At 38.8% G+C, this 17531-nt stretch overlaps 2 protein-coding genes across 2 annotated transcripts in view, besides 1 other annotated feature; both read right to left on the bottom strand.

The window, feature by feature from the left end:
- BIVM-ERCC5 (BIVM-ERCC5 readthrough) overlaps positions 1–17531 on the bottom strand; it is a 68850-nt gene that overhangs the window by 11851 nt on the left and 39468 nt on the right. Inside the window, exons 10-16 of the mRNA NM_001204425.2 lie at positions 11852–12027; positions 10273–10388; positions 9771–9857; positions 8033–8093; positions 5727–5870; positions 2431–2638; positions 1042–2115 (exon numbers count right to left, since the gene is read on the bottom strand). Of these exons, the coding sequence (NP_001191354.2) occupies positions 1042–2115; positions 2431–2638; positions 5727–5870; positions 8033–8093; positions 9771–9857; positions 10273–10388; positions 11852–12027 (1866 nt within the window). The remainder of the gene's footprint in view (positions 1–1041; positions 2116–2430; positions 2639–5726; positions 5871–8032; positions 8094–9770; positions 9858–10272; positions 10389–11851; positions 12028–17531) is intronic.
- Positions 1–17531, bottom strand: part of ERCC5 (ERCC excision repair 5, endonuclease) — a 29964-nt gene that overhangs the window by 11851 nt on the left and 582 nt on the right. Inside the window, exons 2-8 of the mRNA NM_000123.4 lie at positions 11852–12027; positions 10273–10388; positions 9771–9857; positions 8033–8093; positions 5727–5870; positions 2431–2638; positions 1042–2115 (exon numbers count right to left, since the gene is read on the bottom strand). Of these exons, the coding sequence (NP_000114.3) occupies positions 1042–2115; positions 2431–2638; positions 5727–5870; positions 8033–8093; positions 9771–9857; positions 10273–10388; positions 11852–12027 (1866 nt within the window). The remainder of the gene's footprint in view (positions 1–1041; positions 2116–2430; positions 2639–5726; positions 5871–8032; positions 8094–9770; positions 9858–10272; positions 10389–11851; positions 12028–17531) is intronic.
- Positions 17325–17374: a silencer, noted in NCBI's record as "silent region_5487". NCBI's record gives its function as "represses an Ori minimal core promoter by ATAC-STARR-seq in GM12878 lymphoblastoid cells {active_cell/tissue: GM12878}" and the evidence as "EXISTENCE:reporter gene assay evidence [ECO:0000049][PMID:35858748]".

Here is a 17531-nt window from a genome sequence, read left to right as displayed (position 1 = left end):
TGTGTGTGTGTGTGTGTGGTTGATTCTCTTATTCAAAGTGGCCATCACGTATGAAGTCTCTGTGAACACTAAATTAGCCAATACCGAGTCATTGCTCCTAAACATATCTATGTGCATATACACACATATGCATATATAACATATATATGAACACATTTCATATATATTATCTTAAATCCTAAAAAACCACCATCTTAATAGATTCCATTTATTTTATAAACAAGAAACAAAGTTCAAGAAACAAATTAGTGACCTGTGTGAAGCTGCCACGCTAACAGGTGCCAGAATAGGGATTCAAATCTGGTCCAACTGGCCTGGGGCCGGAGCTTCTTGCTCTCTCTCCATTGCATAATCCCCTACTGTCCCCACCCTCTGGTCATCTCTCTCAGAACACGGGAACCAGGCAGAGTGTCACCTTGCTTAACCTCAGCAGGGGACAGTGTGGCAACTCAAGCTTTTCCCCAACTCTGCAAATGTCCACAAATGACCACAAAGACATTGCGGTGAGTACTGATTTTGGAGTTATAAATAAATTTTAGTGATCAGGCAATTTTGCAAATATGGAATCTACAAATAATGAGGATCAATGGTATACATATGTATACAGATTTGGAGATATATGATATACATATAGAGGGCCACAGAGAGACCAAGAGAAATTCTAAGCTAATGTGGTAACATGCTAGCCACTGAGGTACTGGATGAAGGAACCAGTGTTTTATAATATTCTTCCAACTTTTTAAAGTTCATAATTATTTCAAAATAAAAAGTTTTTAAAAACTAGAGGGAAACTCAACTTTACCTTCCCCAAATAGGGCACTTCATGCCTTTAAAAATGATAACAAAAAGCAGAGCAACACAGGGAAGGTCAAGATTCCATGACCAGCTGTGACTCCCTGGGAAAGTCATTTCATCTTTCTTTCTACGTCTCTCGTTCCTTATCTGTAAAAAGTTAAAACGGGACTACACTAACCGATCTCTGAATTCCTACAGAGGGGAAATCCTACCGTTCCAGATTTCTACAAAAGCACAGACACGTACCATCAGATTCACTTTCTTCCGAGTCAATTTCCATTGGTTCCACGGCCTTTGGAATGGAAATTAAATCCTGGCCTGCAGATTCAGTGGTCTGCTGTTCTTGGATGGTTTCCAGAAAATTCTCATGCTCTTTAGCATTAAATGACACCACATTTTCCACATTATCTACTGCCTCTGAAGGGACACTTACTATGCTACTTGTTTCTTGCAAACTGACAGGGCCAATGACTTCAGAAGCAGAATTCGGTTTACATTTTGTTTCATCATCACTTGAAAGAAGAGAAGAATCGAATTTACTCTCATATGGGCAAAGTTCGTTCTGCTGCTCAAGCACTTCAGCATGTGTTTCATTCTTTGACACAGAATTTGTACAAGTTGGAGATGCCGGTGTCAGTTCCCTTCCATTCGGGAGCCCAGGTGCGTCACTATGTCTAACCACTGCACTCTCCAGAGGCAGCCGATCTTTTCTGTCCTTAATCATAGACTCATCACTTATCGGAAAGGCTTCAGTCCCCACGTGAACAAGTGACATTTGTTCTTTTGGAACTGAGTCTGTGGGCTCTCTCCCCTCATTAGTGCTGGCTACGTGCTCCTCTGCAGAGTTCACACTAGATGACGCAAGTGTTGCAGTAAACGGTATTCCTTTTCCATCTCTCACTTTAAGTCCTTCATCACTGTTCTCGGTGGAGCTGTTTATACGCATTTCTTCTGCTCCTGGCCCTCCCGTCTGCACATCATCCCCAGCACACACTTTTACATCTTCGTCATCGTCAAGAGCTCTCTTAATGGCTGAAAGAGTCCGGGGTGATATGGAGCCTTCGTCTACAGCAGCAGGTGCGTTCCTCCCACGGGCCTGCCTTCGATTTTCACTCTCCAGCTCCTCTTCTGAGCTACTTCCCAGCAGGGCAGCTTGCATAGCTAGTAAAGTTCTTGGAGAAGGAGGGGTAGCATCAGGCTCTTTCTCTGTCTTCAGTTTTTCACATGGAGATGACTTCACGTCAAAAGACATGCCGTGCATTTTGCTGGAAGAAGGAAGAGACTCTGAATCCACTTCTGCAACTGTCTTAGCTTGAATACCTTAAGAAGAATTAAAACACTTCTCACCATTCAGTTTTACAGTGTGACAATACGCTTCTAGTAAGATGGATAAGAGAACACTGGTTCTCATAAATAAGTATATACATTTTCATTTAATCGGCAACTAGGAGTTAATTCATTAGCTAATTTTAAAGTGGTTTGGCACTATAGTAGTTAATCCATTAATAGCAGTATACAGTTATTACATAAATAGAATTTCATTAATATTATCCAGGGGTGCTAGTTTATAGAATTCAGAGTCATGATATATCTTTGATTTTTTAATGTAAATATATAAATGATGGTGCCTGATACCTTTTATCAAGATGTAATGTGAAGTGTCTTCAGAGACCACTCTCCTTGACTCTACCTCCTTCAGAAAGCCCCCTTCATCTTCATACTGCCTTCGGATGTGTCCTGAATGTTGCTGATTCATTTCCTTTTGGACATGTTCTATATGCTGGTTCAGATAGTTCTTTTTAAGCAAGCCTTTGAGTTGGTACTGTGAAAAGTCATCAGACTCCTAAAGGCAAAATAAACAAACAAAATTACTGTTTTATATTAAATACAGATAATATTACCATATTTCCACCCTTTCCCCAACAGGGAACAAAGAACAATTGGCTTTTTTCATTGATGGTAGTTTCATATTATAAAAGGTGAATAACAAGAAAAACTACAGCTTCCTTTTAAAAAAATAATCTTCGAAAGAGTTGGGCAAAAAAAAATCATGAATACTATGGCCAGGTGCGGTGGCTCATGCCTGTAATCCTAGCACTTTGGGAGGCCGAGATGGGTGGACCACCGGAGGTCAGGAGTTCGAGACCAGCCTGGCCAACGTGGTGAAACCCTGTCTCTACTAAAAATACAAAAATTAGCCGGGTGTGATGGCAGGCACCTGTAATCCCAGCTACCCAGGAGACTGAGGCAGGAGAATCACTTGAACCGGGGAGGCAGAGGTTGCAGTGAGCCGAGATTGTGCCATTGCACTCCAGCCTGAGGGACAAGAGCGAGACTTCCCCTCAAAAAAAAAAAAAAAAAAATCATGAATACTGTTTATGATTTAATCATTATTCAATAAACATGTATTGAGCATGTAATGCATAGCAGTCACTATGACATCTGATTATGGCTTAACAATCTTCTAGAATGTAGGTAAATATGCAAGTGAAGTGTCCTGCACAACCTTATCCCATAAAAGACACAATAAATCACAGTAATCACAGTTATTAACAGTAATACTTAACATTATAAGGCATTTCCCATGGAGGGCATTTTTCTAAGTGCTTTTACATATAATACCTCATTTTATTCTCACAATCATCCTATGAAACAGATATCACCTCCATTTTATAAATGAAGAAATTGGGACTTAAATAGGTTAGGTAACCTCCCTAGAGTCACAGGGCTAATAAGTGGTAGATCTGGGATCAAAAGCATGTCAATTTACTACAATTGATTCTATTAACATAGTAGACAGCCCCCTCATCCTTGGGGTATGTTCCAAGACCCCCAGAGGATGCCTGAAACTGCAGAAGTACCAAACCTGATTGTCATCAATCAGAACATGTTTCTCTTCATGTCTTCCACCCCAAAATGTAATGGCTTTTCCATCCTAACTGAGCACTTATCACACGCTGAGGTCATGACTTTTGCAGTTTATGGTACGGCAGCAAAACTAGCACCAATTTCTTTTCGCTTCTTCACAATATCACAGATAGAAAAGTCATTTTTATGCAGATCTAAGCAACCTCAGCCAGAATACGATTTTTTTCTTTCCTTATTAATTCAAGAACTTTCACCTTTTCATTTAAAGGAGGCACTTTACAGCTTCTCTTTGGCATATTCAAATTGCCAGCATCATACTCTTGCACTGTTGTGCCATCATTAAGTCAAATAAGAGTGACTTGAGGAGAAGCACTGCAATATCGCGACAGTTGATCTGATCACCGCGACAGCTACTCAGTGATTAACAGGCAGGAAGCATCTACAGCACGGAGATGCTAGACAAAGGGAGGATTCACGTTCCAGGCAAGATGGAGCAGGAGGGTGTGAGATTTCATCACTCTACTCAGAATGGTGTGCAACTTAAAACTTATGAATTGTTTATTTCTGAAAGTTTCCATTTAATATTTTCAGACCACAGTTTACCACAGGTCACTGAAAACTGCAAACCGTGAGTAAAGTGGAACTATGGTATTATGATTATTACTACTGCTATTATTACCTACCATCACTACTATTATCAATATTACATTTGCACGACATACAGATCACACAAAGGCCCAACATGGATGACTTAGAACATCTCTATCAAAATTACAGATCCAGTAAGCTGCTACTCCACACCACCCTACAGTCCACCACTTCCAGAGACTTCATGGTTGCAGAAAGAAAATAAAGAACAGTAAATCATTAGGGACTGTCTCTCTTTCTCCCATTTCTTCCTGTTATTGTTTACACAACCAAAATTCTACTTCCTCAACTGCCAGCCAGAGATCCTTTCATACTCAAGAAATAAAATGCCTGATAGACAGACTGAGCCTGGATTTTTCTCCTGAAATAAAAATCAATTTACTTCTGTCCTTTGTATATCCAAAGACCCAAGAATGTCACTTCTGTGCACCTTAGTGTGTGCTACTGCACATTCTTTGTGGAAAAAACAGGGAGTGATGAGAAAAGAAATTTACCCTTCCTTTTTCATATTTCTGCTATCAATTTAAGCAATATTCAAAAATTGTAGAAAATAAAAAAACACTCCATCTATGCACTAAGGTCGATGATGCTGCAAAATTTCGATTCTGTCCTATAGTGGGTGAATGGAGAACTACGGTAGAAATAACAGGTAGCAGCAACAGAAAGAGAAAAAGAACTCACTCACTGGCAACTAAGACAGGGAGTCATCAATAGTAACATGAATTAAGTATCAATGGCAGCATGATCAGGAGACACATTTGCTAGCACCCAACTGCACATACCACCTCCACTCTAGCTTTCTGGGCCTGCCAAGCTACAAGATGTTCCAAGGTGAAGAAGCCCCATTCGCACTGTCCAGGAAGAGGGCAAGGGAATGTGGAGAGCCAATGGCATCTCTAGGGCTGCAGCAGAGGAAGATATACCTGGAATTTCAATTTAGAACTTATTTTTCCATTGTGATTAGATTCTATATGACTATTAGTTTTTATAGACAATGTATATTATAGGTTACAATAACTTTTATGACCTAACCTAAGAATTGAGTCAGTAAGCATCTACTGGACACATACCATGTGAAAAATACTGAGCTAGACACTGAAAATACAGAGGTGAGCAAGATAAGCGTGTTTTGGAACTAAGAACTATGAAGTGATATTACAGGGTGCTGTGAGAACAAAGACCAGGAAAAAAGACCTAGTCTCGGGTCAAAAGTCAAGAAAAACTTCTTAGAGTAAATGTCTATAGGCTCAAACGTATAAATATACGATGCTTCTTAGAATCTGAGATGTAGAAATGCTGTTTACTGTTAACTGAGATATCGTGTAAGTATTGCTTATCAATTTTCTCTTCTTTCTAATAAAAAGTTTTGCTGAAGTTCTTAATTCTAAGCATGAATGTACTGTTGCATATTTCACCTCTGGCATTGCTTCAAATAATGTTCTTCTGCGCTTGGTGAACTCTTTCATATCAGTCAAGATTTCATGCTTTACTTCAGGGGGCAGGCTGCTGAAGTCCTCAGACTCAATATCTATCGCTTGAGGATTATGAAAGAACTCTTCCTGTAAAGATAAAATCACAGCACCATGAAATTTACATTTCATACACTTAGTTCTATTCAACATTAAGGATATGTATTATGTTTATATAATAAACACAGTTCTACATAATCAACAATTGGCTAAACACAGTTGCATATAATCTGTGACAGGCAACAAAGTGAGTAGGCAAATTAGGGAATGTAGCCATTCACTCTTTAATTCATTCAAAAGAAAAAAATACTTAGCAGGTACCTCTAAGGCACCAGGCACTGTTCTAGGTGCTAAGGTACTGTGAGATCGGATAAGGTGCCAGATAAGGTCCCTGCTCTTAGGAGCAGAGGAGAGAAGACAATAAATAAATAAATAAATGAACAAGATAATGGTAAAATAAAGCAGATTTATCTGATATGAGAGTGATTACATGAACAGAACGTGGAAAAAAAGATCTATTTGATAGATAAAGAAGACCCCACTAAAAAGAGGATGTGTGAGCAGGGACTTGGAAGATATCAAAGAGCCTCACTGAGGATAGAGCATTTCAGGCTGAGAGAACAGAAAATGCAAGAACCCAAGACAGAATGTGCCTTAGGAATTCAAGCAATATATATCATTCCCATAATTAAGTTAGTTTTATTTTGCTTATAACATAAGAAATGAAATTAAAAGAAATTCACAGAAGACATGGAAAAGTGTAAAACTTTTCTCAACTTTAACTCATTACCAAAAGTACTTTAAAATCCTTCATTAGTAAAAAAGATAAGCTAATACAACCTGATGTCCTGCATGTCTGTATGTTACATGTGTACGTACCAACCAGCAAACACGTAGGACAGACCTGTCACTGCGCTCAGCATTTCCTGTGCTTTCCCTCACTAATGCTCCCATCACCCCCATCAGGAAGGCATTGATATCAATTTCGTTTTACAAAAAAAAATAAAGCCTTGGAGAATTTAATCTGTGTAAGATCACACAGCTAGTGAACAGTGGAGCCTGGACTGAAACGCAGGTCTTTTTGACCACGAGGCCCATGGTCTTAACTAAGATTGCTCTCACTAGCTGCATTAATAGCACAGCACCTCCGCAACCTGAAGGATCTCGAGGTTTTAGCTCAAAAGTTTCTACCTGATAGAACAAAACCATATGAACAAACAAGAAACAGTGAATTTGGGAATCAAAAAATGCTATCTGTGACACTAAGAAACTTGAAAAATGTTTATGAAAAAAATGTATATATACAGCATAATCTCAATTTGTAAAAATGTTATTCATGAAAATATGTGTGGGACATTCTTCTTGTCTAACTCTCTGCCCCTTCCATAGGGCAGTAACTAGCTTCTGAGGAACAGGATGTAGTGGGAAGGATGCTGCACAACTTCCAAAGCTAGGTCAGAAAGGCAACAGGGCTTCTGCTTAGAACTTTCTCTTGGGATGCCCACACTGGGAATACAGTCATCATGCTGGGAAAATGCCCAGGCCACGTGGAGAGGCCACAAGTAGGTGCTCTGGTGCTGGCCGCATGGAAGACTGGCTGACAGCCAGCATCAACCACCGCCCATGGCAGCAAGGAAACCTCGTTAATCACTCCAGCCCCAGCTACAGACTGGCTGCATCTACACAAGAGACCCCAGAGAGAACTGCCTGTCTGAGCTCATCTACCCCTGGAACCCAGACAGATGACGATAACAAATGATGTTTTAACCACTAAGTTACACAGCGACAGATAACTAGAACATACACACATATGTGTACACATATATATGTACACATGCACATTTGATACATATATACAAATACACACACAGATATTCAACTATATGGGGCAGGCAAAGAATGGATGAAAATATATCAAACTGTTATTACAAGTTATTTATGAATGATATGTTTTCTATATTTTCTATGTAAGCACATATTACTATTGGTTGGTTGGTTGTAAAAGAAAAATAGCTTGTTTTGAATATATAGATGTGCATAATGGCAAATTCCATATATATATATATACACGTGTGTAGGTGAGTGTGTTTTAAATACATACATGTACACATATATATGCACAACCAAAAAGCCATCTGTCTTTACTTTTTATCAGGAACTTTCACAGTTTGATATACCTCATTAATATTCATTTTCATGTCATTCATTTCAAATAACAGAATACATTCTGAATTCAAAAATGATCTAAATACCTGTAATGCTTGTTTTTGATTCATTCTTTCTTGCCATTCTTTTTCATCTTCCTCTTCTGAACTGAAAGTCAAACATACTTTTACGATATCTATGATTTTTAAGGACCCCTTACAAAAATACTTGTATGCAAGGCTCTGCTCGTTATACGGGCTACAGTGGTGAATAAAACAGCAAGATCTGTGCCACTACTGGTCTCATGGTCTGGTGGGGGACACGTGTAAGTAAGCAATTAGAGTGGGATCTAATAACTTCCACCACAAGGGAAGGGCAGGTCACTAGAGATGCAATAGGGAGTCACCTCACCCAATTTAGGAGTCACAAAAGCTTTCCAGGATCTCCTGCAATTACACTGGTTGGAGTTAGCCACGAATTAATGAGTGTAGTTGTAGGGAGCGGGAAGGTTCATGGAGAAGAGTGTTCCAGGCAAAAGAACTAAGTTGTATGACCATATAGAAACAAGGAAAAGAAAGCCTGCCTGTGGATGATGTGAAGAAAGGCAGGGATAAGACTGGAAAGTGTAATTAAGGAGTTAAAGTTTTATCCTAAAGAAATGAGAAGCTAAGCTGCGTGTGGTGGCTCACGCCTGCAATCCCAGCACTTTGGGAGGCCGAGGCAGGTGGATCACTTGAGGTCAGGAGTTCGAGACCAGCCTGGACAACATGGTGAAACCTCGTCTCTACTAAAAATACAAAAAATTAGCCAGGTGTGGTGGCACGTGCCTGTAATCCCAGCTACTCCGGAGGCTGAGGCAGGAGAATCGCTTAAACCCAGGAGGCAGGGGTTGCAGTGAGCTGAGATTGTGCCACTGCACTCCAGTCTGGGCAACAGAGACTCCATCTCAAAAAAAAAAGAAAGAAAAAAATGAGAAGGAGAAGCTAGAAAGTGTTTTAAGTAAGGAAATGACAATATCAGATTTGGATTTTAAACAGACTATAACACAAAACAGAGATTGGGCTTGGTGGGAGGAACTATTACAAAAAGGGTATGATCAAAGACAAAGACAGAAAGAAGTTTAAAAGCTAATAATGTAACCTGGAGAAAAAATGACAGTGGTAGCAATGGAGACAAATAGAACTGAGCTGATACAAAAGCTAAGTTGTCTCTTGGGAACTCCTGGGAAAGGAAGAGGTGGAGGGAAGGACAGGGGACAAAGGCAAACTGCCAAGCTTCCGGTTCTCCACCTTCACTTCAAACACAGAAACCACCAACCATTAAGAGAGAGACAGAGGAAGAGGAGTCCACAGAGAGGCTGAGCAGAAAGCGCCAGAGAGATGCCGGGGGAGCGGGGCAGTGTGGCATGGTGTTTAGTGCAGAGAAGTCGAGCACACTAAGACGTGCAAAGCGTCTGCTAGATTTAGCAACAAGAATGTCATGGGTTGTGGTATTTTAGCATCATGGTGAGAGAGACCATACTGGATTGAAAAGCAGCTAGAGACAGCATGTGTAAGCAAAGTGTAAGCAAAACTAAAATTCATGCCTTGGAGAATTTAGAATCCACAGCCCTGGCAGAAGTTCTTTAGAATGAAGAGGAATAAGAATCATGAATCACCAAAACACAAAGAATAGTAAATAAAAAATTTAGTCTTTGAAAAATATTCTGAAAGGTATAGAGCATGCCTATTTCAGATGCATTAAGAAATGTTCACATGCCTTATCATGTAGATAACACATCAAGGTTTAAATGTGTCTGAATGTAGCAATGACTAAAATAATATTCTTAAATAGTTAAACATTTACCTGTGTTTTTCTTCCTCTTGTAAAGGAGGCAAAACATAGAGGTCGTTTTCTCTTCGAACTTGGGTAAGACTGGGTAGTGCTTCATCTCTGGAAAGTACACAAATCTTTAAACAGATTATGCAGACCCTGCTCAGGATGGTGAACAGGGACCTGACCTGGCTGCTCTCAGGCCACTGCTGTGGAAAATAAATGCAGCCGAGAGAAAGGAAGGAACCTTGGCGGGGCTGCTCACCTAGAGTCAAGAAGACCATAATCAAAGTAAAAAGTGTACATGACGCAACACGACAGCTTTTTTTTCTCATTAGCAAAGTTGATTCTCACAGAACGGAGAATTGCCACAACTCCAAATTACCAGGTCAAAATGGCAGCCTACTTGTCTCATTTCACTCTCTATTTTCTGTTGAGAGTCAAAATTAGATAGGGAAAGAGAATCGCAGGAAATCAAGACAAAAATCACTTTTTTAAAACTTCATCTCTAACACGACTATAATTTTCCTCTTGCCTTTTGCTTCTGAAGGCAGTTTTGATGGCTTGTCTTTTCAAAAATGTTTTCAGAAGCTTCTCTGTCGTTTTCCTGGAGTCACTGGACGCTAAGTCCTTTCTCTGCCTTCTCTTCACCTATGAGAAGAAAGGATGTAAGATCTCACTTCAGGATATTAGACCACTAGAAACATTGCTGTGATTTATTTTCCAGAGAATTTGGTTTGTCTGAGTTTTCAGACTATGGCTGCTTTAGCATTTCCTCCTAATTGCCATATCAGTGTATATCTTCAGGTTGCTGCTACGTAAAGGACACCCAGAGTTTCCATCTATTACTTAATGGGCTACTACACAATATATTTGGGAAACTTAATTTACTTTCAGTTTCTTTTAAATGTCTTTTAATATGCCCAAGAAGTGGAAAGCTTAAATGCTTCCCAAAAGAAATTATTTATTTATTCTATAAAATGTCACAGTGACACCAAAAACAATTTCTAATATTGCTTTTTATAAACATGCATTACTTACATGTAATTCTGCCCTTCAATATTCAAGATTATATATCATGAGAAATTCTAAAATGTATAGAAATATCTTGTAAGAAATGTTCAAGTAGTGACAAATGGATAGTCCCTGTGCTTATGGCTGAATATCGGATAAAAATAACCAAGATATTCTCTTTTCCTTTCTAATCCTTCCACAAAGTACCTGATTTACAGTATGCCTTGGGTAACTGAAAACTGCAACATTCAAGACTAGACACTCTTACTGAGGCAACAAAGGTCCCCCAGCATTTATAAATGCTTTTTATTTTTATCCTATATCCTTACTTTTATCCTATATCCTCATTTAGAGAGTATCTGGTATGATTACAAAGTCATCATTTCATTACTTTGGTATTTTCAACAAATAAAAGTCATATATCCAAATGGGTGCTGTCATTTGGACTGTTTAAACATTATTTTATGTCATTTTTTTAGAGATGGGGTCTCCCTGTGTTGCCCAGGCTGGACTTGGGCTCAAGCAATCCTCCTGCCCCCGGCCTTCCAAAAACATTTTTTAAAACTACTTCCAGAACAATAAAGCAGCAACTCATTCTGACTCTTCTATATCATGGTCAATTTCCTTCCTAGATAATCCACTTTAGTCACCACTTGGCACCACATAACATTGCTTACTCCTAAAATCCAATTCCCCTTAAAAGAAGGCTTGCTATCACGGAGGATACTTGATCTCAGATTCAGGGAGGCACTTCCCAAAAGAGGGTTTCCACAGTGTTCTGAGTGATGGCCGCATCCTTGAAATAAATATAAAACACCTAACAAGATCCTCTGAAGGGAAAACTCTCAACAGCAAGGTTTTTAGTAGTTAGTTTTATTTAAAAGTTAAATTTTATCATTGTACCCATGATGAACTCTCATAAAACTTTTTAAAAGAAAAATTAATTGTTCAAGATAAAAAAGTAGATGTAATTAAGTATGTGTCAAAATAAGTCTGTTTCTAAAATTCTAAAGAGAAAACAAAAATTTTATGTGAATTTTTCTAAGAATGCAGAAAGAAAAAAATTATTTGACACTTACTAAAAACTATACGACACTTACCAAAGTCTGTTTCTTCAATAGTGGAGCATCCCCATCAAACACAAAAATAGGACGAATTCGAAAAAATAAGAGTTTGCAGAGCCGATGAAACAAAGTGAGAAGATGAGGATTTTCTATTGAGTTCCCATGGCGATCCCGGACTCCTTTAAGTGCTTGGTTTAACCAAATGCTAATATCTGGGAGAATTGTTAATGGAAAAAACTCCGGGATTTTTCTCTTCATCCTCACAACTTCAATTTCCTAATAACTGATATTATCCAAACGTTGAACACTAAATACTTATCACTATTCATTTAAAATTGAAAAACATTTAGCTCTCATGGGATCTACCTAAAGTCAGTTAACTTTTAGTTGAACTCTTGTTACCCCTATTCACATACTGCATTTTAAAATCATACAAAGACAGACATATCCTTTTAAGAAGTCTCATTGCAAAGAATTGCTTCTTTAAAAAAAAATAAGTGATTGCTAAAGAATTTTCATGAATTAGCACAAATTTTCTGGAGGACAATTTGACAATTCATAGTGAAAAAAACTTTTTAAAACTTTGCAGTCTATTTTACCACTTCCAGACATTGATCCTCAGAAAATCATCATGGATATATAATGAGAGTTATTTACAGAATGCTTGTTTATAATAATGAAAATATAAAAATCAACTTAAAAGTTTTCCAGCAGGTCTTTTTAAAAAACTAATCATAGGCCGGGCGCGGTGGCTCACACCTGTAATCCCAGCACTTTGGGAGGCCGAGGCAGGTGGATCACGAGATCAAGAGATCGAGACCATCCTGGCCAACATGGTGAAACCCCATCTCTACTAAAAATACAAAAATTGGCTGGGCATGGTGGTGCGCACCTGTAGTCCCAGCTACTCAGGAGGCTGAGGCAGGAGAATCGCTTGAACCCAGGAGGCAGAGGTTGCAGTGAGCCGAGATCGCGCCACTGCACTCCAGCCTGGTGACAGAGCAAGACTCCGTCTCAAAAAAGAAAAACTAATTATGGCAGACCTATTTGCTGGAATACCAAAAAGCCCTTAAAAATGGAAGTTGCAGGAGCATGTGTGATAAGGAAGATAGTCATTAAATATTATTAAAGATAGTAAAACAGGCTATAAAACCATATAAAGTATAACTCCATTTTCTGATACAGTATATATGTTAAATATAAAAAACTAGTTCACATACCAAAATATTAAAGTAGATATTATGTCTGCTGAGACTAAAGATAACTTATATTTTCATCTTGAAGTTTTCTTATATTTTTAAACTTTTCTAAAAAGTGCTTCTCAAAAAATGTTATATTTGTCCAAAAGAAAGAGTGACACCGCGCTCTGCTGGTTTTCCTGCTCTCAGACTCTTTGCCAGCTCCTGTAACACTGTTAAAGTATTCACTTCATCAGTGATCTTTCTCAGGCCCTCTTCTTTCCTCCTGTCTGAACTATCAACCTCCACTCCCCTCCACATACACCACGCCCTGACTCCATGTATATGTCTGGCCCAGAGCACGCTCCTGACCCCAGAACAGAGAGCCCAGATGACGTCTCTACCCCATACCTCATAGACATTTCAAACTTAACATGATCAAAACTGAACTCCATGTCTTCTCCACTCAGCTGCTCATGCCCCCATCTCAGTGAATGTCCCTGCCATTCACCTGAGCCAGAATGCTGGGCATCACCACCTATAGCTATTACCAGGTCTATCAATTCTATCTTCTAATGTATCTTGAAGGTATATACTAGATTTCACCAACGTATCTTTGGTGAAAACCCTCCAAAGCTTCCCACTGCCTTCAAGATACTATCTAAAACTTCTTCTCCTGGTCTAGGAAGCCTTGAATGATCTGGCCTCTGCTCACTTCCTGCTACTGGGCTTTCCTCAAACCCAGAAATCACTAAGCTCCTTCCTGCCTCCAGGTTCTTCTCACATGCTGCTTCCTCTGCCTGAAACAGTTTCTCCCTCTCTCCGCCTAGTTCTCTCCTACTCTAAGGTCTCAGTCCAGGGGTCCCCTCCTCAGTCTAGATGAAGACATCCTCCTTGTATACATTCCTATTTAAAAAATATATTGAGGCCGAGTGCGGTAGCTCACACTTGTAATCCCAGCACTTTGGGAGGCCAAGGCGGGCAGACCACCTGAGGTCAGGAGATCGAGACCATCCTGGCCAAAATGGTGAAATCCTGTCTCTACTAAAAATACAAAAATTAGCCAGGCATGGTGGCGTGTGCCTATAAGGCTGAGGCAGGAGAATCGATTGAACCTGGGAGGCGAAGGTTGCAGTGAGCCAAGATCACGCCACTGCACTCGAGCCTGCGTAACAGAGGGAGACTCTGTCTCAAAAAAAAACAAAAAGAAAAAAAAAACAGAGAGAAACCTGGACTGATGCTAATATTTGCAGGTAAATTTCTAACATAGGAAAAGAACATTGAAGGGGCCACCTATCACGTTATTTCTGTTTTTATTATGTGGCAGCATTTTTTCTATGCACTGGCATATCCAGTGCACTGAACAAAACACAGTATTGGCCCTATGGAGTTTATAATCTAGCAGGGAAAAAACCCAGCCTGTGTGCTCCATGGCTTGCCCGGGCAATTTGTGCACTGCACTCCCTTTCACAGGGACTCTTATACACAATAAATATCTGCTATTAAATAAGTTGAACAGTTTAGTATTTAAATGAATGTACACTGCCTAACTTTTACTAACATAAAAAAAAATGTAGGTCCATCAACAATTAATTTACAAAACACTATGTAACAAAATACCTAGTGGAAAGCAAGCTACTGCTATGCTTATTTCTATAATATTTAGCAATACCATGGGCCAGGCATATCCAAGACCCTAGGGATATACACCAAACAATTCAGCCATGAACAAAACAGAGACGGTCCCTATCTCCAGGAAGCCAGTGCAGCAGGACAAAAGGAATGGCAGGAGGTGATACGGCCACTGGGAAGTTTCTAGAACATGATTTAAGGATAACTTTGATGAACATGTGAAGAACAGATTATAAGGAAACCAGTTCTAAAATGAGTTACAATAGCCCAAGTTAACGCAGACAGTAGTGGTGGAGACCACGAGAAGAGATCGGATAAAAGATACATCTCAGAGGTAGAACTTGGTGTTGATGTGCATCTGTCTTGTATTAGATCGATGTTTCTGCTTGCTACAAGTATAGTCTGGAAAAGCCATGAAGCTCACTATTACATAGGATTAAATTAGTTTCTACTTGGCCCACTACTTTAAACTTTAACTTCAGTGAGGAAATCTAGTTTCAGATCAGTGGCTCTCATCCCTGCTATCCATTAGAATAGGATATGAAGCTTCTGAAACATACGGATTATTAAACCCCATGGGCCTAAAATTCTAAATCATAGAGACTGAGGTAGGACTTCTTTTATTTTTTATTTTTCAATTAACTACAGGTAATGCCAATTCTCAGCTAGGGTTGAGAATTTTGGCTTGAATTCTTAGAGATGAAATATGTAAAATTAGACGACCTGAAAATATTCACATAAATTGTTAGACAAGAAATATGAAAAATGAGACAATCTGAAAATATTTGTATAATTTGACTTGTCTAATTTCAGTAAGTTTATATACGCAAAATTAAATTTCTGCGGACAGAAAAGTTAAAATCTGCAGCAAAGCCAAAAATCACTTTCGGTATAAGACCCAAAGACCAATAACATTTCAATACAAAAAATAAGTTTCTTTAGTTCTTTAGTTAGGTGACTTAAAAATCTCCATTAGTATACATAGCCTAAAGAGATGGTAATATCTTGCTAATACACTTAAACGCATATTACAAACATTAAAATCTATAAGAGACAAAAGTTTAACTTACTTCTGCATTATTTGACACAGACATTTAGACTGTATAAATAAGACACTAAGCTATATAGATGGTTTAAAGACCAAACAATTTAGTATAGAGATACAAGAGTAAATTATGAAACTAGTATAATAACGGGTAAGTTTGTCATTAACAAACAATACAATAAAATCTAAATAATTTCAGGTGTCTGAATTCCCGTGAAAATGAAATAAAGCAAAACCGATTGTAGAACAAGTAATCAGATATACTCCTTTGACATAAACGAGTTTATTATAAATATATGAGGTTGTCATGACTAGAATGTCTTTCACAGTCCTTTTTATTTATTTATTCAGAGACAGACATGAACACGGCTCATTGCAGCCTTGACCGCCTGGGCCCAAGCAATCTTCCTGCCTCAGCCTTCCGTGTAGCTGGGACCAAAGGTGCAGGCCACCACGTCCAGCTAATTTTTTGACTGTGTGTAGACAGGGGTTCACTATGTTGCCCAGGCTGGTCTTGAACTCCTGGGCTCAAATGATCCTCCTGCCTTGACCTCCCAAAGTGCTGGGATGACAGGCGTAAGCCACTGAGCCTGGCCACAGTCCTCTTTAGTAATTCTTCACAAGGGCTGCTACATAAAATGATCTAAATCTTTGCTGAAGTTTTAAGGGTTCTTGTCACTGAAAACTAACCTTTACCCTTTATTTCTGAGAAAATCTTTAGACTGCAATGATACTAAGCAACAGCTTGAGGGCAGCAACAGCGCATGTGCTCTAAAAAACAAAAAACAAAACAAAACAAAACAAAAATCCTTTGGCTTTCCCCAATTCAAAGTACCCTGTATAAAAACTTTTAAGCCAAAAATCAATTACAGATTTATTTAAAGATTATTCACTTGCAAAAAATGATAATCTCATTATGTTTTAAAACTTATCAATGTCGTTTTATTTATAAGTTTTGTACCTACTGAAGAATTAGGGCTCCACAGTCAGGGATTCCTTTGCTGAACGCCCACACACTCTTGCACTCCATTTCCCGTCCCCAATCCCCCCGCAATCATTTACAGGACTCTTTCCACAAGCCCACGAGCCCCTAGACTCATAGATCCCCATTTAGGAAATTGGTGTAAGGTATCACCAGATTCTGAGCCAGAATAGATACTCAAAAAAAAAAAAAAAATGACTACATAACAAAGAAAAAGATAAAAATTTCAAAAGCAGTATCACGTTTTGCTAATGAAAAAAGAATTTAATTCCAATGACAAACAAAACCAGCCAAACATGTACAGAAACAATAGTCCTTAAAAAGTCAATTTAAAAAATGGGTAAAACACCTGTCCACACTATCCTTCCTCTAAGAAACATAAATGGGGCAAGACTCAAGCAAAACTAATCGTCGAAGTCTACTCTGCTCTCCTTACTGACCTCCCGGACAGGATAATAACTTTAAGATTTACTGTATTAATCGCACTAAACTTCTCTCATGTAGGCAATTTCTTTATTCCTCATTCCAATCCTGTGTGTAGATACTATCACCACCTCTACTTTGCAGATGAGAGAACTAAGGCAGAGAGGAACATAAAGCACTGCCACAAAGTGACAAACCAGGATGCACAGGCCGCTAAGACTGCAAAGCTGGGGAAAGCAGACAGGGCGGCCCGCCTCATCACCCGATTCCGCAATCAACCTACCACGGATCAAAAATATTTGCGATGGAAAAAAATAAATAAATAAAACATACCAATAAAAACTACAAAAAATTTTAAAATACAGTATAACAACTATTTACAGATCACTTACATTGCATTCGGCATTACAAGTAAGCTAGAAACGATTTAAAAGATTACGGAAGTGGGTAGTTTAT

Source organism: Homo sapiens, chromosome 13 (assembly GCF_000001405.40).
Source record: "Homo sapiens chromosome 13, GRCh38.p14 Primary Assembly".
In the NCBI taxonomy this organism is placed as follows: Eukaryota; Metazoa; Chordata; class Mammalia; order Primates; family Hominidae; genus Homo; species Homo sapiens.
The sequence above is the reverse complement of the archived record's forward strand: the minus strand, read 5'-3'. Positions and strand labels throughout refer to the sequence as shown.